This window comes from Homo sapiens, chromosome 14 (genome assembly GCF_000001405.40).
Source record: "Homo sapiens chromosome 14, GRCh38.p14 Primary Assembly".
NCBI lineage: Eukaryota > Metazoa > Chordata > Mammalia > Primates > Hominidae > Homo > Homo sapiens.
In genome coordinates this window covers 102,212,353-102,234,418 of record NC_000014.9, presented here as the reverse complement: position 1 = coordinate 102,234,418, position 22,066 = coordinate 102,212,353, and the positions used below count along the sequence as shown (strand labels likewise).

The following is a 22,066-nucleotide window of genomic DNA, read 5'->3' as shown; positions in this document are numbered from 1 at the left end:
GTTCAGGGAATGGCAACAGTCTCTTTTTACTCACCCTGGCGGAGGCTTTGATGGTGGATGAAGTCACCAGCAATGGGAGAGTCTAGGAGATTGTCTGGGTCTTTGGCAGGTTCGGGGAAGGGGAGATTGGCCAGGAGAGGGGTGATAGGGGAGGGAGGGAGAGAGAGAGAAAAAGAGAGAGAGAGAGAGATTGATAGTGAGCGAGTCCTGGCCAGAGTCTATCCCCCTTCCCGGGTTTCGGCACCAGAATGTTAGGTCATCCGAGAGAAAGGAAAAATTGACCTAAAGTCAGGCAAGCAAGTTTTTATTAACCTGCCACCGGCCGCTTAACAGTCAGAGGAAGCAGCCCCAAGCTTACAGATTGAGGGGTTTATATTGGGGAAGGGAGTTTGAGGGAGTTCTTCGGTATGGTCACATCCCGGGGTTGTTTGCTGGTTAATTTTGCCACATATCACCTTGTGATGTTTACGGTAGCAGCTAGATGAACAGCAGGAACTTACAGAAGGGTGTAGGTAAAGTTTGTTTATGCTTCCCACGATCTCCCCTTGTGCGGTCCAGATGGTTTGTAATTGGTGAGGTCTGTTGGCTCTGCCCTAACACTGACCACAGTGCCCCTTCTGCCCTTCCAGTCTGCAGCCCCTCTTTCCTGGAGTAAATGAACTGGACCAAATCTCAAAAATCCACGATGTCATCGGCACACCCGCTCAGAAGATCCTCACCAAGTTCAAACAGTAAGTATTGTGTTCTGAGAGTGGATGTGGACCCACTCCCCTGCTAGGACCTGCAGCAGGGCAAGCCCCTCCCTGTGCCTCCCTCAAACCCCTCTCAGGAGCTCCTTTGGCTGACTACAGGGGTTCAAGTTCACTTGAGGGCCAGTGAGTGGCTGCTCAGACAGAGCCCATCACTTTAAGTGGTCTCAAAGGTGAGCTCTTCCTTGAGCATCACAGAAAGATTTGTCACAGGCTTTCTGAGGGCTGGGGAGTCAGGCTGTGTTCCCTGAGTAATTTAAACAGGACTTAGAAGCCTTTGGGTGGAAACGTTCCCCAAGCACAGAGCATAGGTGGTGAGGGCTTTCTGCAGCCCTCCACAGCCCTGCTGGCGGGACCGACGCCTGGAAGAGGTGTTCCCGGACTCTTAGGGTCATTCTGGTGAAGCTGAGGCTGGGAGTTGGGACTTCCCAGGGAGGGCCTGTGGGCTGAGGGGCAAGTAGCACCCAGCGGCCCCCACATCCCAGGGAGGGAGAAGGTGGCAACCATTTTGGACTCTTCTTTTTTTGTTAAATTTTATTTCATTCTTCTCATGTGGGAAGGTGATATTAATCTTTTATAGGAAAGGTAGTTTTCTTACATTTTTAGCATAACAGATCCCCCCCTTTATAATAGACTATTTTTAAATAGATTTTTTTAAGAGCAGTTTTAGGTTTCCATAGAGCCCTGTCCCCATGTGCACACAGCCTCCCCTGTCGTCAGCACCTGCCTCGAGTGGTGTGTTTATTATGGTCGATGAACCGTGGATATCTCATTACTACACAGAGCCCATCATTTACATCAGGGGTCCCTCTTGGTGGTGCACGTTCTGTGGGCTGGGACAGGTGTAGACTCTGCAGTCATAAACCATTCCCCACCACACAGGGCCCTTAGTTGTGACAGTGGACCACCGGTGCGCTCAGTGACAGCATGACCATTTATTATCATTGGGTTTTTAATACAGGTCGAGAGCTATGAATTTTGATTTTCCTTTTAAAAAGGGATCAGGAATACCTCTACTAACAACCAATTTGTCCCCACAATGCCTCTCCCTCCTGCACGCAATGGTGGCCTATGATCCCGATGAGAGAATCGCCGCCCACCAGGCCCTGCAGCACCCCTACTTCCAAGAACAGAGGTAGGCACTCTCGTGGGTTCGGTGGGGCAGATGCAGGACCTGGCAAATGAGACCCATGGGCACATGGTGGGGCAAGGTACTGCCCCCTGGAGGGTCCCTGGTTCTTGGGAATCGCGCTCTCTATCCTGAAGAGTGGTCAGGGCCTCTTGGGGCCCACACCGTGCTGCCTTCTGGTGTATCCTCCCCAAAATGAGGATGTTAGCAGCTCCACGGCAGGAGAAAGAGGGGCTGGCTGTCCACTTTGCGGTTGATGCCAAGGCTACAGGTAGTAATCCTTCTAGAAGAGCCTGGTGTGCGGCCCTTGTAAATGGTGTGAACAGGATGCATTCTGAGATGGTAGAGCACTGTGGATGTCACCTGGCGCTGGAAGTACCTGCTGAATGTGAATCTAAGACCTGTCTGCCCTGAGGTCACCTAATTCCGGACCTCTGGACACTCCTGTTTGCCTAACTGTGGAGGTGACAGTTTGATCTGAAACTGCGAGTCCCTGGGTAGGCAGCGCTTCTGATTCATGGAGCCAGCTCTGTTCCTGGCCCAGAGACTGTCAGGCTGAGACAGAAAAGAAAAAAAAAGGCTCCTGATTACAGCTCAGGCAGAAAAGAAGAGCTAGTGACAACTCACACAGTAGACAAATTGGAGACAAAGAAGCCAGTAGGCCGTGTGCTCTGCGGGCTCTCAGTGGAGCTGCTCCATTCTCTTCTCCTTCCCCGTAGGAAAACAGAGAAGCGGGCTCTGGGCAGCCACAGAAAAGCTGGCTTTCCGGAGCACCCTGTGGCACCGGAACCACTCAGTAACAGCTGCCAGATTTCCAAGGAGGGCAGAAAGCAGGTACTAAGCGAAATCGGAGCCGGAGACTGCCTAGCTCAGCCGGGACTGGATGCCCTCGGGTGGCCTGTGTCTCTCTCAGGAGGACGCCACCTGTGGAGGCTGTGGCAGACCACATTGTCAGTCGAGGCCTGAACAGCATGCGAGTTGATGGCTCCATGTGTTGGGACATCAGGGACCCCAGTTCTATTTGCTCAAGCCCTTTCTGCCCCAGTAGCTAAGAATTGATGACGAATATCCCATGTGAGCAGGCCCAGAGAGGGGATGTTTGCATGAACTTTTGTGTCTGTCCTGATGACCATATGCAGGTGCCAGGTTCTATGCCAAAGCACCGTGCAGACATCGCCCCTCAGAACGGCCCTGGAGGGAGGCGCCAAGAAGATGCAATGCTGGCCCAAGTCACCCACCCAGCCAGTGACAGGTCTCAAGTCACTGTCTCTGCCTGGCTCCAGATGAGCACTTCGTCCCATCAGCAGAGGTTGTGCACATTTTCGGTTGAGAAATGCCAGCTTTGCCCCTCAGTGCCTTCACCTTCCCACCTACCGTGTGGCATCCTAGCCTGGTGCAGCCCTGTGTCACCTGCTGGCAGGGTCACACCAGTCTCCCAGTTCTGGGCTGGCACCCCAACAGTGTGACAGTGTGCCCTTCCATCATTCGTCTGTTCGGTCGTCCGTACGTCACTCGCTCCTCCCAGCCTTTACCGAGTGCTCCCTGACCGCTTGGGAGCTGGGAACCCAGAGCTGCAGTCAGGCTGCTCTCCAGAAAGCCAGGCTCCTGTGTCCCATTGGTCCCTGATTTGACAGCTCCACTTGAATGTCCGAAAGACAGACTTGCTGAAACCCCTTCTCCTGATCTTTCCCCAAACGTGCTTTTTCCCTGTGGCTTCCCATGGCCTTCCCTCCGAGGGAGGCAACTCCGTCAACTGCCCAGGCCCCCCGTGGACCCTTCCTTCATCCCACAGGGGCTTCGCCTTCTTGCCTCCTACATCCTCCTCACCTTGCCTAAGTCACCACAGATGGCCTCCTCACTACTGTCCCTGCTCTGCCTCCGCTCCCTCCTGGACAGAGGGTCTGCTTCAAACCCTTGATGTCACTCCTGGCCGGCATTCACCCAAGTCCCCACCCTCAGTCACATCCGAGGTCGGCATATTTTTCTCTAAGGGTCTGATAGGAAATATTTTAGGCCCCGTGGCCGTGGGGTGTTCGTTACACTCCCTGCTTTGCTGCAGTGTGAAAGGAGCTGGAGGCAACACATGAACCACATAGGGGCTGCGTTCCAGTAGAACTGGGGACACTAAAATTTGAATTTCACATAATTTTCACATGCCATGAAACATTTTTTTTTCAGTCATTAAAAATAAAAACCAGGTGGGTGCGGTGGCTCACACCTGTAAACCCAGTGCTTAGGGAGGCCAGGGTAGGATCACTTGAGGCCAGGAGTTTGAGACCAGCCTGGGCAACGTAGGCAAGACCACTGCCCCACCACCCCATCTGTTTTAAAAATTAGCTGGGTGTGGTGCGTGCCTTTGGTCCCAGCTACTTGGGAGGCTGAGGCAGGAGGATCGCCTGAGCCTAGGAAGCTGAGGCTACAGTGAGCCAAGATTGCACCACTGCACTCCAGTCTGTGCTACAGAGCAACAAACACCGTGTCTCAAAACAAACAAACAAACAAAAAACCCCAAATGTAAAACCATCCTTAGCTCACAAGCCACCCAAAACCAGGCGACAGGCAGATCAGGGTGTGAGACCTTGGAGCTAGAGCAGGAGGCAGGAGGCGTGGGCACCACAGCCCGCGAGCCCTTTGCCGCCCGCACTGCTCAGCTTGCAGTCGGCATTCTTCAGGTTCCCCCTGAAGGTTTGGCCTCCCCCGTGGGACTCTAGTGGGCAGCCACTCCCTTGGGGTGTCTGGGACCTGGTGGATGTGTCCCAGTCACATCTTATGGTCAAGAAATTGTATTAGGCAAAAGCAGTACAAAAGAGCCTCTTTCGTTTTTCCTAATTTCCATAAAGCAGAAAGCGTTTTATGTCCAACTGGCCTCTGTTCTGTTTCAAGAAACAGTCCCTAAAGCAAGAGGAGGACCGTCCCAAGAGACGAGGACCGGCCTATGTCATGGAACTGCCCAAACTAAAGCTTTCGGGAGTGGTCAGACTGTCGTCTTACTCCAGCCCCACGCTGCAGTCCGTGCTTGGATCTGGAACAAATGGAAGAGTGCCGGTGCTGAGACCCTTGAAGTGCATCCCTGCGAGCAAGAAGGTAGCGCGGAACCAGCTTCTCTGACGGCGCTGCTCTTCGACCCAGCCCAGGCCGCCACTGAATTTTGTGTCTGTAATTTTTCTTTGACAGACAGATCCGCAGAAGGACCTTAAGCCTGCCCCGCAGCAGTGTCGCCTGCCCACCATAGTGCGGAAAGGCGGAAGATAACTGAGCAGCACCGTCGTCTCGACTTCGGAGGCAACACCAAGCCCGACCGGGCCAGGCCTGGGTGATCTGCTGCTGAGACGCCACGGAGGGCTGGGGATGCGCCTGCGTCCGTTTCGCGCTGGCCGGGGCTCTGGGTGCTGCCCTGCGCCCTGCCGCACCCGCGGCCCGCGCAGCTGCCTAGGATGTTCTGGGCTAATATACTTGTAAAACCACCGCATTCTAGGGTTTTCTTTCATTTTCGTTAAGAATTTGGGGCAGGAAATACTTTGTAACTTTGTATATGAATCAAAACAAACGAGCAGGCATTTCTGTGATGTGTTGGGCGTGGTTGGAAGGTGGGTTCTGCGTGTCCCTTCCCAGCGCTGCTGGTCAGTCGTGGAGCGCCATCATGTCTTACCAGTGACGCTGCTGACACCCCTGACTTTTATTAAAGAATAAGCTGTCGTTACAGTATTGCATTTTAATGTTTTCCGAGTCCAACATGTGTCCTTACCAGCCATTCCTTTATTTTAGCTTTTGTGGGCACACGAGGGGAATTGATTTTGTTGGGAAGACTTTGGTGTGGCTTAATTTTTTTTTTTTTTTTTTTTTGAGACGGAGTTTCGTTCATTGCCCAGGTTGGAGTGCAATGGCGCAATCTTGGCTCACTGCAACCTCCACCTCCCGGGTTCAAGGGATTCTCCCGCCTCAGCCTCTAAGTAGCTGGGATTACGTGCATGCACCACCACGCCCGGCTGATTTTTTTGTATTTTTAGTAGAGACGGGGTTTCTCCATGTTGGTCAGGCTGGTCTCAAAACTCCCGACTTCAGGTGATCCTCCCGCCTCGGCCTCCCAAAGTGCTGGGATTACAGGCATGAGCCACCGCGCCTGGCCTGGTGTGGCTTAATTTTCATTTGAAGAACCATTCAGAAAGGAACACACACAGGCGTGTCCTCGGAGCCCTGTGTGCTCCTCAGTGACCAGCCTGGCGAGGTGGTGCGGGGCACAGGGCAGGCCTGAAGGGTCTCTTCTGAGCATAGGCTTCAAGGTGACCACGTTGTCATTTTAGCTCCTGGTGCTCAGCTGTCTCTGGGGAGTATGGAGCCCTGCCCCTGGCCTGTCAGTGGGTGCTTTGAGCTGTTTGCTGAGTGCCAACAATAAGTTGGGCACCTTGTGTCCTAGAAAGAGAAACCTGTTTCCCCATGGGGATGGGAATGGGAACATTGCAAAGAAACCGTGGCACTGGCCGGGCTGCTGGGCACAAGAAAAGTCCTAGTAAGTCCTCTTGTTTATCTGGGAAAGTAACTTAGTAATTGGGTCTTCTTTCTTTTTTGTCATCTTCCCAAACTTAAAGAGATATTTTTGAAAAAGGCTAAATTTCCCAGGCTAGTAGTGTTTAAGCCTCCTTGCTCCCCTGTTGAGACAAATCTGTGACACCCTTCCTTCACGTGCTCTCCAGTGGTCCTGGCCCCAGCCCCAGGCCACCTGACACGACAGCGGGGCCGCAGGAGATGGACCGCGGGCCACGCGGAGGGAGGGCAGGCTGGAGGAGGAGGCAAGGGCGGGGAGCGTGGGGCAGCGAGTCCGTGGGCACAGGTGCCCACTCTGCACCACATGGGGGCAAAGGAACCCAAGAAGAAGGGCAGATTCCAGTCCGGAAGTGAGGCTTGCCGTAATGTTCAGACCGGAAGTGAGGCTTGCCGTAATTTTCAGACCGGAAGGGAGGCTTGCCATAATGTTCCAGAGCAGGGTGCAGTGCAGGCCTTTCCCCGGGCTCCTTTTAAACCCATTTGAGACCCTGGTGCAGCCTTGAGGGCTGCCCTTGCTGTAGGGGAGGTGTCTGAGCAGGGGGGTGGTGCCGTTCTGCCTCTACAGAGGGCCTGGGAGTCCCAGGGGAGTCGGACGTCAAGGCCGTGGGCAGAGCCCAGCAGCAGGGAGGGCTGGGGGACAGAAGGCTGGGGAGATGGCTGTAGGGGGGGCGGCGCGCAGGTCACAAGAGAGGGACCTGTGGGTAGGGGAGTGGTGGCTAGGAGGGCCATGCCCTGTCCCCCGGCCTGGCTTCAGGGTCAGGCATGTTAACGGATTGAGTGTGTACTTGGGAAACGTGTTACTCTCTTTATGTCTATAAAATATGAAGGGAAAGTCTTTACAGTTCTTCTGCAGGCTTTTTTGAGAAAGCAAATGTGGTCTGCAGATGCCGGTGCCCAGGACACCAGCTGCCCTGTCCTGACTGTCACACTCCTCGTGGTGGGGGCAGCGGGGCTGGGGGCCCTCTGGAGGCAAGAAACAGTCCCTAAAGCAAGAGGAGGACCATCCCAAGGTCCACCACTTGAGGCCCTCCTGGTTTAGTTAGACTCGGGCGTAAACGCTCTGAAGCAGTGTCGAGCCCGGCACGCCAGGGCCCAGGGCAGCTGGGCCTCCAGGCTGGAGGTGAGCAGGGGACCAGAGCCCAGCTCCACAGGCCCCCTCCATGGAGGAGCGGCGGGGTTTGTGGCGCACAGCAGGGTTCCCACATCAGCTTCCCAAGTCCAAGGGTGGAGATTCCGAGGGTGATGATTTCCTACAGATTTGGAGAAAAGGGAAATCCTGCCAGCCACCCTTGGACTTCCCGCCCTGCACTTGGCCCTTGCACCTGCCTGCTCTTGGCAGGAGGCGTCAGGGTCCCCAGGCCGCTTCAGCTGCGTGTGGTTCCCTGTGTCCGTCTGGGCCCTGTGATGGGGGCCAGGGCTGAGGGCAGAGGGGCCAGGCTGGCTCAGCCCATAGGAGGCCACCTTGCCCTGCTGCCGGGGCCCCGGCGGGGCCTCTGCCACCCCAAACTGGAAAGCTCGTGAACCCTGGCTGGCCGGATTATTTCCATTCTTCTGTGCAATGCAATTGAAGCGCTTGAATTATCCCCACAGAACCCAGAACGGAAGCGAGGATGAGGCCTCAGCCGTCCTCCTCCCCATTCAAACACGTTCATCCCTCAACCCTCTGCTGAGCACCTGCATGCTGCCCGGCCGCAGTGTCACCCTTCTTGTGTGAGCCTACCCTCATCCACCCACCTCACCCTCCTGACCTTAAAGAAGACACCGGGCAGAAGCACAGGGGAGCCCAGTCACACCCCACACTGGCGGGGGCAGGCCTTGCAGGGAGAAGCAGTAAGCAGCCATCTCCATCAGCCATTTCCATCTGGCACTCAGACGTGCACGTCTTCGTGTGACAGGCGGCAGCAGTGCGACCGTGACCTCCCATCTGCTCTGCTGTCCCCACACCTGCGGTGCAGCCAGCCTGCCACAAGGCAGCTAGAGTCCAGCTAGACCCACCCCTGGCACGGCCGACCTCTTCCTGGCTTCTTCTGGGCCTAATCCCCGTGCATTCTCCAACGCCAGAAGTGTAAGAAAGTGCAAGGCAACAAGTGAGAAGAGCAAACCCAAATCGTACCAGGGAAGCTAGTCTTTCCAGGGCACCTGAGTGAGGGCATGACCAGCCTTGACGCTGCCTCGCTACCATCTGCCCAGGGCCTGCTGAATGCTTGAGTCCATGGTGACAGTGGTGGGAACAGTTACGAGGCAGTTAGATTTTGGAAGTCATGTTGGCCCACTTGGCTACAGAGCAGTCTTAGGAACAGCACCATAAAAATAAAGACTTATTCCTGACACACATGCATCTAGAGTAAACTGGGGCGTATCTGACAGCGTTAGTACAGTGATGGCCAAATGCAAACTGCATTCCAGAACCAGCGAAGGGTGACAGACTGGGCTGAGGCAGAGCTAGGACTAACCATCTCGAGTGATGCCATCTCGGGGCCAACAAAAGTTTTGGACACGGCTGGATCATCTGACCAAACTGCTCAAATCTTTACACAATTATTGTCCTGGTATTAAACTTTCACCTGCCACTTCCAACAAACAGGAGACAGAATAAGGAGATGACCAGGAAGATGGCTGGATTAAGAATTCTAGACTTGGCCGGGTGCGGTGGCTCACACCTGTAATCCTAGCATCTTGGGAGGCTGAGGCAGGAGGATCGCTTGAGCCCAGGAGTTTGAGACCAGCCTAGGCAACATAAGGAGACCCCATCTCTACAAAATATCAAAAAATTACCCAGGTATGGTGGCACACACGTGTGATTCCAGCTACTCGGGAGGCTGAGATGGGAGGATCACTTGAACCCAGGAGGTTGGGGCTACAATGAGCTATGATCGCACCACTTCATTCCAGCCTGGATGACAGGTAAGACTCTGTCTTAAACAGAAAATAATTCTAGATTTATTTTCAAAAGTAGTTCCTTCTGCCTTCCAAATACACCCGCAGTTCACTGTAGCTGTTTTGGGCCCTCCTGGGTTTGGCTTCCTGTATAACTGACAGCACCTAGCAATCAACACTTTAAGATGACAGAAATACCAAAGTACCTAAAACATGCTAATATCTTATTTTAATACAGAGGTCACTCTGCATGTGTCTAATTCATCCATTCTGATTCTTTCATTTAGAACAGCAAGTCTTAGTGTCTTTTATTATTTCTCTTTCTAGAAGACTCACTCCATAGTTCATGGCCCCGTGATCCAGAGTCCCTGCTGGCGCCTTCGAGTGGGGCAGGCTGAGAACTCAAGCTGTAACTAATGTCTCCTCCGAAGAAAACTAAACCGAGGGCTGAGCTGATGTGAAGTTTTCCGTGGCTGCATTCATACAAATGGTGAAAATGTAGCATACCTCCCCTCAAAAGCCTGAAAGTAAAGACATGCCCCCAATTTAATGTGATGAATTAGAGAAATAGGTTTCAGACACTTCATGGTTTAAAGTCTCACAAAATAAAGCTTTCGAAGGATCCAGTTGTATATGATTTTTTAAAAAAATAAATAAACATTCTTCTGCTTGGTAGCTGCACATTCTGTTGGGATTCCAGTAACTCGCTGAGCAGGTGTGGGATGCCCTAAACTCAGATGCTCACGAGCTGGTTTCAACCAAGTAAGAAAAATCTCAGGTAAGGCCGGGCGCAGTGGCTCACGCCTGTAATCCCAGCACTTTGGGAGGCCAAGGCAGGCGGATCACGAGGTCAGGAGATCGAGACCATCCTGGCTAACATGGTGAAACCCCATCTCTACTAAAAATACAAAAATTAGCCGGGCGTGGTGGCGGGCGCCTGTAGTCCCAGCTACTCGGGAGGCTGAGGCGGGAGAATGGCGTGAACCCGGGAGGCGGAGCTTGCAGTGAGCCGAGATTGCGCCACTGCACTCCAGCCTGGACAACAGAGGGAGACTCCATCTCAAAAAAAAAAAAAAAAAAAAAATCTCAGGTAAACAGTGTGATTAGCTAGTTCATGTCCCATGTTCATACTCACTGTAGAAACTGTGTTATGTGTGGTCACAGGCTTTCAATGACGAAAGGAGGACTCGGAGTTGTATGGAAACGTGATCCTGAAGCCCTGTGCAGACGTGCAGCTGCCCACAGTGGCCACAGACAGCTGAGGCTGTGAGGCGACCACAGAGCCCACGCCCTCCTGAGCCATATTCTTGAACAGCCCATCTCAAGTGTGACTGGTGAGGGGGCTTCAAGTAACATGGGGTGAAAAAGACAAAACAATTCCATACCAACCAGTTCAACCCAAATGTACAGGACAAACTAAGCCAATTTAACAGAAGATAAACAAGCGGTATATTCAAGATAGTTTTAATATTAACTTTTGTGAATTAGAAATATCACTCTTAAATGATGAAAATTACTAGTGAAGTAACTATTTTCCCCAATTGCAGAATTACAATATTTATACATATAATACAGAGTTGATTGCATTGGAAACAACAGTTTATTTTACGTAAAATAAACGTCAACGGGTAAAAAGGGCATCTTCACGCCGCACCTCAGAGGGCCATGAGTCCTTACACCCATCTGCAAAGTAACTTTCCACCAGCATTCAACTATTTTTAAGTGCAAACAATTTTTTAAAATCTGTGATTGCAGCGTCTGTCTTCCTGAATTACATTACGTCAGAAAGTAACAGTTTTCTCTATGAGTGCATTCAAGGTTGTCTTCTGACCACCTAAGGTATAGAAAAATCAGTGCAAAAACAGTGAAGCACTATAACAGCTGAATTTCAGGGGATTTCTTGTCCAAGAAACATTTTATTTTACACTATGTATATATGTATATATTATATATATATGAAATTTAATTACATTGAATTTTAGAGTAAAAAGCAAGAAAACTCCATTTCTTATTTTTTACTGCAGCCCCAAAAGACCGGTTTAAAATGGAAACAACTTCTTTGGGTGAGCAGCGGGAGCACGGCGCCGCAGAGTGAGCCGGTCACCGTCCACACGGCTATCGCCGACGTCCACCGCCTGAGGTCCGCCGGCTGGCACGGCTCAGGCGCAGCTCGGAGCTCCTCCTCGTCACTCCCTCGAGTCCAAGTCCCGGGAGACTGTGCGCGCAGCAGTGAGGTCGCTACACTACAGTTCCACCTGGAGAACTGGCCTGGCTTGGGGATGACAATGAGCCCTGCAAACAAAGCAGTCTACATTAATCCAGCAAAACACCGGACGGGCAACAGCCACCATGCGCGCCCTCCGCCAGCAGCTCCACGTGGTCAAAACTGGTGCTGTTGATGTGGAAGCCAGTGTGGGAGCAAACCCTCCACTTCATCTATTTAATTCCTATCCAGATCACTGCGTTCCATTCCTAGAGAATTGGAACCCTGCTGGGTGCAATACTGTGGCCTCAATACCGTCCAAGAGAAGGGCGGGCAGGGCTGGCCTTGCCCTTGGGGGAGACAGTGGTTTCTCAGCACCTGAGAACAGGTTCTTTGGAGCTTTGCTGACCCAAAGGTGCAGGTGCCTCGTGGGAGGTGTTCAGCGCCTTCAGCCAGGGTTGAGCCCAGGGCACCGCAGTTCTGGACCGCACACCCAGTCCCTCGGAGCCAGGGGTTGTCTCCAAGGATAGAGTTCAGTGGCACCTTTGAAAGGGCATTCTCTGCTGGGGGGTTCTTGCTTTGTTGGGTGGTGTGACCGTGGCACCCCCTGGCTGTAGCTGTCCACATGTGTAGGCCCCACAGGTAGAGACAGCAGGGCCCAGGCCGAGGTCGGGGGAGCCCCAGAACAAAGTAGTCTTGCCGTGAGGCTGCAGCTGGGTGTGGAGAAGGGATGTGGGGGCCAACCCACCAGGGCCAGCAGGAAGAATGGTGGGGGGCATCTGGCTCTTTAGGGCGGCTCCTGCTGAGAGGCTCACTGTCGGGGGCGGGGGCGGGGAATCTCACCCAGATTTTACAATACTGGTGTGACCTTGGGTAAACCTAAGAGGGTTTAACCTCCTACACAGCAAAGAGTACTTCCATTTCTTTGCATTTACTATTGAGCAGCAATTACATTACATCAAAGTGTGGCGTTCATTTATGAAGAACATTAAGATGGCGACAGTGCAGCCCCAAAGGTGCACATTTTCAGCTCTGGGAATACAACTTAGCTGTCATGGAAGAAGGCTTCAGCTGATGAGTACTGTTTACAAATGACAAGCCTTTAACTCAAGCTGACATTGCTACCTTCTCACATATTGGACTTGTGTGGACACAAATGAAGGTGACAATCGGAAACTGCCCTTCAGCCTCGCCCACGCCCTGCTGCCGGAAGCCTGGAAGCAAGCTGTCCCGCTCAAGTCATTTCATCCCGTTTCTTACCTTCCACCTGAAATCTGTTCACCTAGACAAGCTCAGGAAGCAAACGGAATGTGGCAGCTGCCCCTGCTCAGAGTCTATAGGAGTGCTTTTCCTCTGGGACCCCTGAAAAGGGACAGAACCCTGTTTGTACTTGTGGAGGACCCCGCAAACGCCCCATACTTCTGGCTCAAACACATCAAGCCTGTGGAGGAAAGCTGGGCAGCAGGTTCCTGACCCCACTTCTGCCGCAGACAGTCTGGAGGAAGGAAGCCTCTCACACAGGACACTCTGCCTTCATCACCACGCGCACCCTAAGAAAGTGCTTTCCACAAGCTATGTGGTGTCCAGGAAGTGACAAATCTCCAGAACCAGGAGGCACCTCCCTTCCCCCCGGCAACAGAAAAGTCATCTACTCCTGGCAGAGGGAGAAAGTGGTGGTGACCCAGCCTGGGGACAGACGGAGAGGGGCCACCCTCATCTGGCAGCCACAGAGTCTCCCTCCCCTTTCACGGAGTGCCAGGTGGAGGTGAGTGCTGCTCCAGGTAGGAGGCAGCCCCACCCACAGGAAGGTGGTGTCTCTACCAGTCCTGTGTTAAGTTTAGCTTCCCGGGAGCACGTTTAACAACTTAAAAACAAGTGACAGCCAGCCCTGTGGGAGGCTGAGGTGGGGAGATTACTTGAGCCCAGGAGTCTGAGACCAGCCTGGCCAACATGGTGAAACTCCATCTCTACTAATACAAAATTAGCCGGGTGTGGTGGCGCACGGCTGTCATCCCAGCTACTCAGGAGGCTGTGTGGCAGGAGGATGGCTTGAGCCCAGGAGATGCAGGGTGCAATGAGCCGCGATCCACTGCACTCCAGCCTGGGGGATAGAGCAAGACCCTGTCTCAAAAAATGAAAAGATAGATAATAAAAACAAGTGACATTAATTTTAATATTTTCTTTTTTTTTTTTTTTTTTGAGACGGAGTCTCACTTTGTTGTCCAGGCTGGAGTGCAGTGGCACGATCTTGGCTCACTGCAAGCTCCACCTCCTGGGTTCAAGTGATTCTCCTGCCTCAGCCTCCCAAGTACCTTGGACTACAGGCGCCTGCCACCACGCCCAGCTAACTTTTTGTAGTTTTAGTAGAGATGGGGTTTCACTGTTAGGATGGTCTTGAAGACCTCCTGACCTCGTGATCCACCTGCCTTGGCCTCCCAAAGTGCTGGGATTACAGGCGTGAGCCACCGCACCTGGCCAATTTTAATATTTTAACTGAAGATGTTTCATATAATATTCAGCAATATAAAAATTACTAATGACTTTTTTGGTAAGAAGCCTTTGAGGTGTGCTGTGTGGTTGACACGTTATGGCACTTTTCAGGTTGGACTGGCCCCAATTTACATACTTAGTGGCTGCAGGTGGCTTCTGACGGCCATGAGGGACAGCACCCTTCCTTAGACTTCCTCTCACTGAGTGTGAGGCCCCAGAGGACTCGGCTGCTTTCCATCACTCCCAGGGGAGGGCGGCTGCTGAGACGCAGAGGTGGCGCAGCCACCAGGCTGCCAGAGCCTGATGTTGAGGGACACGCTGCTTCCGCCAGCTGGTCCCTACAAAGCCGCACCCCTAGAAAGCGACCCAACGCGAGGGCTGCAGGCTTCCTATTCTCCCATTAGCACAAAACAAATGCACACTCATTCTCCAGTTTCTGCTGGCTAACGCCTTGATGCCAATTGTGGTGGCAGCTAGGAGCCAACTAGAACCACCTTCATGCCCTCCACTGTCCCACTCTCCACTGGGCCCAGCTTCCAGAGAGATCTTGAATCAACCGCCCTCAAACCTGTCCTCCTCTCGTCTTCTGTAGTCCATACTGGCATAACGGAACTGGGGGTTCCCGTTAGCAGGCTTCGCCCTTTTGATGGCAGCCCTGGTTAACAGTTCTTTTAGAATGCATCGCCATGCAGAGAATGTGCCCATGATCAAAACTCAGGGTCCCCATGCTGCAGCACTCAGGAAGCACGTTGGCCACCGGTGAAAAACCCAAGAGGACCCCAGGGTGCTTGACCAGGGACTCCCTGGAGCCCGCCCGTCAGAGCAAAGGGGAAAACGGTGGTCTCTAAGAGGAGTTAACCGGAAGGCGAAGCGAAGGCCCAAAGGGCCCGGCCTCCAGTTCTCCAGCAGTGACCCCAGCAAGCCCCAGGAGACAGTCCTGCAGGCACAAGCCCTGGAGTGTGCTGGGCCTGCTGTGGCCCTGCGTTGGCATCAGTGCCAGGCATGCCCAGAAGCAGGGGGTGCGACACAGCACTCCGGGTGGCAGGGAAGGGGCCTCGGCGCCCTGCATGCCGCTGAGGACTTGTGCGAGTCACTGGACCCTTCATCTTGGCACCTGTCACTTGCTGGAGATGGACTCACTTTGCCGTGGTGAACACTGGAGGCAACAGGAGGAAAAAGCGCCATTCAAAAGAGAATCAAATGAAAAAAGTCACCTTGTTTCTATCTGCCTGTGATTCAGTCTAAAGATTATCAGGTGGTAGAAGAGGAAGACGAGAAACAGACACCTAGGCCCCCATGGAAGGATCCCGGCTGCAGCTTCCCTCGAGAGCACAGCGTGGGGGATCCACTGCCCAAATGGTCATCCGTGTCAAACTCCCGGTGACAGGGACCCTGCTGCCCCAATCCGCCTGCTCTTCAGGGAGGGAGTGGGGTTTTACCCTGTCCTTCTGCTTCCTTTTCATGGGAGAAAAGGGGCAAGGCCCGGCCCGGCCGACGGAGGACCTGGCAAGGGGAGCCCGCCCACGCTTCACCTGTGCTCAGCAGCGTGCGGGAGCTGCTGGGCTGTGCACCAGAAGCAGGACAGCTGGCAATTCCAGGCTTTACCAGTTGCCATCAGGCAAAGGAGCTCCCCAGGCAGAATCTGCACGGCGTCCCATCAGCCCCCACACCGTGAGAGGAACGGGGCAAGCCTTGGCTCTAATATTAGTCAGCTGCTTGGCTCCCCGCAGAGTCACTGTTTTATTCCCGCTAGAGACTTCAGTTCAAAATTAAGTGATAAAAAAATACTCCAGCTCTTGGTTTGGGTTTGATTCTAATTTATAATACTAAGTTAAGAGAATTACACCTTGTTGCACCAGAATATATATGAAAAATATTTTGGTTCAAAACAATTTACAATAAAGCAGCAAGGCCATGTTCCTGCCCCTGCAGGTGCTGCTCGGACTGGAGATTCTGACAGCCAGATAGGACTGTGAGGGCCACAGGCCACGTCAGAGAAAGGACATGTCCTGAAGCTCTGTCAGGCCTGGACGGTCTCCTAGCTCTGGGTTCTGGGAGGGCTTCCCCTTCTGACCCCCACGACCCCTGGCCTGTGAGTGTCAGAGAAGACAGAACCTCAAGGAGACAGCTGTGGGATGTGGATGAGAGTGTGGGCTGGGCGCCAGCTCATCCCTCATCCACCTGGGACTGTTCAATACCCTCTCTGGTCATTCAACCCCCAAGGTCACCCTTTCCAACCCAAACAAAAGTAAGACGCACACAGGCCCTGGGACCCGTTTCATGGCAGGCACGCGGGCGGGCAGACTAGCGCTTCTCTCCTGAGATCGTGGACAAAGTACCACAAGACAGAATCTGGTTCTACACAGCCACAACATCCGGGAGCTTGGTGCCAGCTGGCCGGCGTGCTGTGGAGGTCACCTCCACTGGCGTCCCCCAGAGGGAGAAGGCCAGCCTTGGCCCTGCACGTAGCCCCTGAGGCTCCAATGCTGGCCTCTGTGGCAGGTGCTCCTGGCAGAATCTCACCCTGGGGAGAACACGAGTTAAATGTTATTTGCAAAGCGACACCTTTTTAGAGACGGTGCGGAAACGATGAGAACTATGACCAGGCTAGCCTGCTCTCAGAACCAAGACTTCCAGCTCTGAACACACTCCTTAACTGCTCACGTGCAAGACTCCCACCATTCTCACTACACAGACCACAACAGAAAGGAACCAAAGCAAACCTGGAGAAAGCAGCCATGGTTTATTCACGGCACCCGAAGCCAGTCTCTACATCACACAAGCGGCACGTGAGCCACAGAGCCGGGAACCCTGGGCCCAGCCCAGGGACGTCGGGACCCATCTCTGCCCCAGACTTGCCGTGCAGTTTGGCTTGGGACCTCAGTTATAGCTGGGCAGTGGACCACGTACCTCTGCCAGCTTTAACCTGTCCACTGACAGGTGACAGTGAGGGGCCACACTTGCCCAGATGCCACTCAACCTGGCATCTAATGAGAAAAGCCACCCAGAGAAAAGGATTGTACTCTTCAGACTTCCGGGGAAAGACCACGCAGATGAAGGGCACGACCATCTAAGGGCTCCGCTGCGATCTGAAGGTGGAAGAAAAGCATCAGAGAGAACGTGTGCAAGTCAGTGGGCCTTCATCGTGATCCCGTTCACTGATGGAGACCAGCACCGGCCCGGGCTGTCACTGGAGGCCCTCCCGCTCCTGGGACCCACTTGGCCCTGCAATCCTCTCTACTGTGTGGGGCAGGAAGAAGGGACCCCACTTAGTCTCCATAAAGCCTTTCTAGCTTGAGTAACTTCAAAGAGGATTTTGCTTATGCTGCCCCCCACCTAAAAGGGGAGGCTGGTTTTGGAGGCCACTGACCCTGGAAGGGGTGGTAGGGAGCTGAGAGCCTCTAGATGGTCCATTCGTCTCCAGAGACCCCTGGGTTCAGAATCCATTAATTCTGACAGGCAGCCACACATGGAGAAATGGCTATTTTTTTTCTTTAAGACAGAGTCTCGCTCTGTCGCCCAGGCTGGAGTGCAGTGGCGCCATCTCGACTCATTGCAACCTCCACCTCCTGGGTTCAAGTGATTTTCATGGTGCCTCAGCCTTCCGAGTAGCTGGGACTACAGGCGCCCGCCACCACGCCCGGCTAATTTTTGTATTTTTAGTACAGATGGGGGTTTGCCATGATGGCTGGGCTGGTCTCAAACTCCTGGGCTCAGGTGATCCACCCGCCTCGGCCTCCCAAAGTGCTGGGATTACAGGCATGAGCCACCATGCCCAGCTGAGAACTAGCTATTTTTATTTTTTTGAAGGTACAAACTAGCTATTTTTAAAAGACCAAAATGTCATGGTTTTCTTAAAAAAACAAAACTTGCTGTCAACTTAATAGTCTTTAGGGCTTAAAATCTACTCAGTGCTAGCCTGGGCAACATGGCAAGACCCTGTACCTACAGAAATAAAAATACACAAAAATTAGCTGAGTTTGGTGGTGTGTGCCTATGGTCCCAGTTACTCAAGAGGCCTAGATGGGAGGATCACTGAGCCCAGGAGGTCAAGGCTTCAGTGAGCCATGTTCGGGCAACAGAGCGAGACCCTGTCTCAAAAAACACAAACCAAAACGCCCTGTTCAGTGCTAAGAACAGAGCCCTGTGCACTCTTGTGGCAGTCGTAGGCCCCAGGAGGCCGCTTTTGAGAGCTGTAGGTCTGAATGTTCCCTCCGCTTTGACAGCCCAGACTCAAGACAAAAAGTGCAGATAGTTCAGCACTGGAGGCTCTGCTGACCCCGCACTCCAGAGACAGCACCGTGGGAAGCTTCTGGGAGTTCCCCACCCGATGAACGTGCTGGAGGCAGAGCACAGGGCTCAGCCGGCTGCCAACATGCAGAGGCGGCTGAGTGGGACCTGGATGTCTCATGACACAGCAGGGAAGTGACAATTAAATGGGAGCACAAGGGCCTGAGGAAGGGCTGTGTCTGAGGCCAGCTCGCCCTCACTCATCACACCTCAGGCAGGGGGGTAGGCCTGCGGGTGCCAGGGCGCTGCTCAGATCAGCTACGTCGTCTGTCAAGAGTGAGGGATGGTATTTCATAGTAAGACAATGTAAATCATGAGTTCTTCTCATCCCAAATGGAACGTCCCCCACTGCCCTGTGTAGGAAGCGCTCTGCACCGACGACGGGCCTGGTGTCTACAGCAGGACAACCTCACGCCAGCACAAAGCCTTAAGCAAACACTATTCAAGATGAGGAGTAGGCAGACAATGAACTCTAGCCAGGAAAAGAGCTCCTACTGAAAGCAGCCTACCTGGGGGCAAGGGGAGGGAGAGCATAAGGAAAAATACCTAATGCATGCGGGGCTTAAAACATAGATGACGGGTTGATGGGCGCAACAAACCACCGTGGCACATGCATCCCTATGTAACAAACCTGCACGTTCAGCACATATATCCCAGAACTTACAGCAAAATAAAAAAAAGCAAGCAGCCTACCAGCCGCTACCTTCTCCACTCTCCCAGCTGCTGGCTGGGTGGCTGGACAGAATGTCGGATGTCCAGCATCCGGGATAGTGAGTCCATGTAACAAAAGCCAGCTCGTGGCCCAGGACGACTTCAGAATGTCTGCATTCTCATTAAACAGAAGCCTCTACACAGCTCAGCCGAAACGCCAATCAACAGTCCTTCTCCCGGACTGGAGTTGGCACAGAGGAGGACCACATAAAACAGTATCTGAGACGCAGAACATTTCATCGAGTACGCTGCCAACTATGAGAAACAGTCAGCTTTAGTAAGAGGGAGCAATTCCGGTGGCTGGCTGTTCTATAAACATTAACAAGGTCCTTAATTTTACAGCATTTAAAAACTTTTCTGGTTTTGGTTCACTGGGATTTTTAAAGCTTAGATGTGAAAATGACTACTGAAAATTATCTACATTTACAGTTCACTCACACACGTTTATTTAATGTCAGTATACAGAGGACAGCCCCACAGTACTTCAGAATATCAAGTATGTAGTAAGTCTTGTTAGCTGTGACAGTGACAAGGCAACAGCTAAAAAAAAAAACAAAGCAGTGAAACAAACATGATTTCCTTAAAATTATAAAACAATACTGATACTAAAGTTTCATTAATTATTGCAACAGTAAAGAATTTAATTTACCAATATTTCATGTTAGGAAGGCTCTTTATGAAATTTATTCAAGTTGTCAAGAAATTGGATGAAAATATAAAAAAGGAAATACATGTGAATTTTACTTTTGATTTTCACTCAAAATATCCATACAATTTTATACAGTGTCGCCTAACATAACAATCTCTAATAAACTCAAGTATACAGAAATGATAAAAATGCAGGAAATTTTTTACACTTTCAAATGAAAGGATAGCAATTTATGACACGAAGTTCGTGTAACAGATGCGGAAATGAATAAAGAAATCAACATCAGTGAGACAGTCTCCCTCTACTGGAGGGGCACGTTCTTATAGTTCGTAACTAGGATCTGAGTTTCAAAGGTAACAGTTGCATACGAGTGCTTTTACATATAAAGCCACAGACTTCACTTCGGCCAGACTAATGTCTCCTCCCTTTGGGACATCACTTGGGGTCGCTGTGATGTGCACCTTGTTAACTTAAAGCAACACCCGACAGTCCCAATCAGCCCGTGGCGAAGGGTGTGCTCCAGACAAGGGGGGGCCCTGCAGGCTGCTGCCAGGGTGGTAGACTATAAACCTTCACCTTTGTCACCCAGACCAGACCGGAGGAGGCGTCTCCAGGTCACCCGACCCCTACCCACGCATGTGGAGGTTCTCACTGCTAAGGAACGAAACCTCAGCCAAGGGCACACCGACCGCCGCCATGGTGCAACCCCGCAGTCAGAGGCCAGTCCCTCCCCCATCCACCGGCACCGGAGGCAGGGCAGGGCCACCGGATCCCCCGCCATGCCCTCACCCACAAAGCTGGACGCCAGACGCTGTGTTCCATGAATCGTTCCCCAGAAAATCCACTGGTGAACTGCTTCTAGTTCTTCCGTGGGCAGTCAGACACGCATGATGTGGCGCTTGGGTTTCCGTGGATCCCTTCTCCAGCCGCCCCCAACCCCTAGGTTTTCTCCGCCTCACACTTTGAGCTCGCTCAACAAAGAAAGAAAACGTCTCCCTCCCAGGCGAGAGGTGATGAGGACCTTGTATGCAGGCAACTTCAGCACTCATTTCATACTTTACAATTTATTATTTAAAATGAACCCCAGGAAGTGGAGGAACTGGGGAGAAATGGCTGCCTGGCCACGTGCCAGCTGGGCCCTGGGGGTGAAGTCAGCCAGTGGAGAGCCCTGGGCCCCGCCCGGACGGTGTCCTTGCCCCTAAAATCCCATCCTGTCACTGCATTTCTTCCTCAGAATTCCTGAACGCCTTTGAGAAAAGAATGATTGTGATAGCTCCTTTCTGATTTTCCATGCCTCCATTTTTAAGGCATTTACCCTCAGTCCCCAGCTAAGGGTTCACAGGAAAACACTTCCAAACTGCTAGAAGGTTCAATCAGCACAAAAGAGAAATGAGATCCTTTACCATGATTTAAGCAAATTTCGACCCCAAGGCTACTGGTTATTTGTAAAGTGTCTACTCCTGCACATGCATTTGCTTTTAAAAGAAGGCAAGCTTTTCCAAAGGTTCCCTTCTCCAGGCCGCTGGGGGAATTTTTAATTCTCCTTCTGAATAAGAAAAAAGCCTCAGAGAAAGGCTCCAGGGCCACCAGTAGTGTTTAGAAGCCTGCCCCATCGCAGTCACAGCACAAATCTGGCTTCTTGAATTCTGGTGAAAAAGGCCAACCCAAGGAGGGCGAGTTGAAGCTCCCCTGGCCCTGGCCTGGCACCTTCAGAAGGTGTCTGACACCGCCCAGGGACCAGCTCGCCCCCTTGCCGGGTGGGAGCGGGATTCTCCAGCCACGCAGCGTGCACCTGACTTTCGTCTGAGCCTTTCATCTCTGTGGTTTGGTACACGCTGGAACAGTGATGCTGACTGAGTATTTAACAGCCTCTTCTTGCCAAATGCTGTGTTTTATTCCACAGATTAGGTTAGAAAAGATATTCTTGCTCATAATAACGTTTAGGCTGAAAGACTGAAAAATTTCAATGAGGAAGCTCAAAGTTTGGCGAGAAAACTACAAATATTTTCCCCAAATTTCTCCTAGGGTTAGCAGCACGCATTGCACCTTACACACCTGATATCAGGAACCACCGCGGCCACCCCTCCCCAGGCCCTCCCCAGGTCTGCGGGAGCCATTACTCAGAAGCACAGCCGAGGAGAAGGGCGCTTCCCTGCCCCTCTCTCCAGTGCCCTCTTCTCAAGCTGTTGGGCACTTTTAGTTCTGGTCTTGGAGAACACCTTGCATCCTGTCCTCCTGCCTGCAGAAGTGCTCTGCCGGCTGTCAAAGAAAGGGGCAGCAGTCAGAGGGGCAGAGTGGACACAGAGTGGTGTCGCCCTGCAGGGCCTGGGCCAGCCTGGGCTGAGCCAGGGGTCAGGACATGCAGTCAAAGGCAGCCCCTCCCCAGGCTGGCACAGTGCTCTCCACTGGGCCCTGAACCCAGCAAG

At 52.5% G+C, this 22,066-nt stretch overlaps 2 protein-coding genes across 78 annotated transcripts in view, besides 1 other annotated feature; one reads left to right on the top strand and one right to left on the bottom strand.

Moving 5' to 3' along the window:
• MOK (MOK protein kinase) overlaps positions 1-19,823 on the top strand; it is a 90,569-nt gene extending 70,746 nt beyond the window's left edge. For 10 of the 33 annotated variants that reach the window (NM_001353830.2, NM_001353829.2, NM_001353831.2 and 7 more), the window contains 5 exons: positions 630-731; positions 1,711-1,884; positions 2,598-2,712; positions 4,762-4,962; positions 5,053-5,583. In NM_001353830.2, the coding sequence (NP_001340759.1) occupies positions 630-731; positions 1,711-1,884; positions 2,598-2,712; positions 4,762-4,962; positions 5,053-5,130 (670 nt within the window). In that variant the 3' untranslated portion in view covers positions 5,131-5,583. Of the gene's footprint in view, positions 1-629; positions 1,886-2,597; positions 2,713-3,017; positions 3,188-4,761; positions 5,584-8,010; positions 9,325-9,624; positions 9,979-10,461; positions 10,632-11,321 lie in introns of those variants that run through there. The other 23 variants (XM_017021558.2, XM_017021557.3, XM_047431644.1 and 20 more) reach the window with 12 other exon arrangements.
• Positions 2,804-3,304: an enhancer, noted in NCBI's record as "H3K4me1 hESC enhancer chr14:102697452-102697952 (GRCh37/hg19 assembly coordinates)". NCBI's record gives its function as "activates a minimal SCP1, AML or CMV promoter by ChIP-STARR-seq in primed H9 embryonic stem cells {active_cell/tissue: H9 hESC(primed)}" and the evidence as "EXISTENCE:reporter gene assay evidence [ECO:0000049][PMID:30033119]".
• Positions 9,580-22,066, bottom strand: part of WDR20 (WD repeat domain 20) — an 85,417-nt gene continuing 72,930 nt past the window's right edge. For 17 of the 45 annotated variants that reach the window (NM_001353662.2, XM_011537337.3, XM_011537352.4 and 14 more), the window contains one exon: positions 10,746-11,589. In NM_001353662.2, coding sequence (NP_001340591.1) covers positions 11,536-11,589 — 54 coding nt within the window. In that variant the 3' untranslated portion in view covers positions 10,746-11,535. Of the gene's footprint in view, positions 9,819-10,745; positions 11,590-12,760; positions 12,863-19,413; positions 21,900-22,066 lie in introns of those variants that run through there. The other 28 variants (XM_024449743.2, XM_024449742.2, XM_047431929.1 and 25 more) reach the window with 6 other exon arrangements.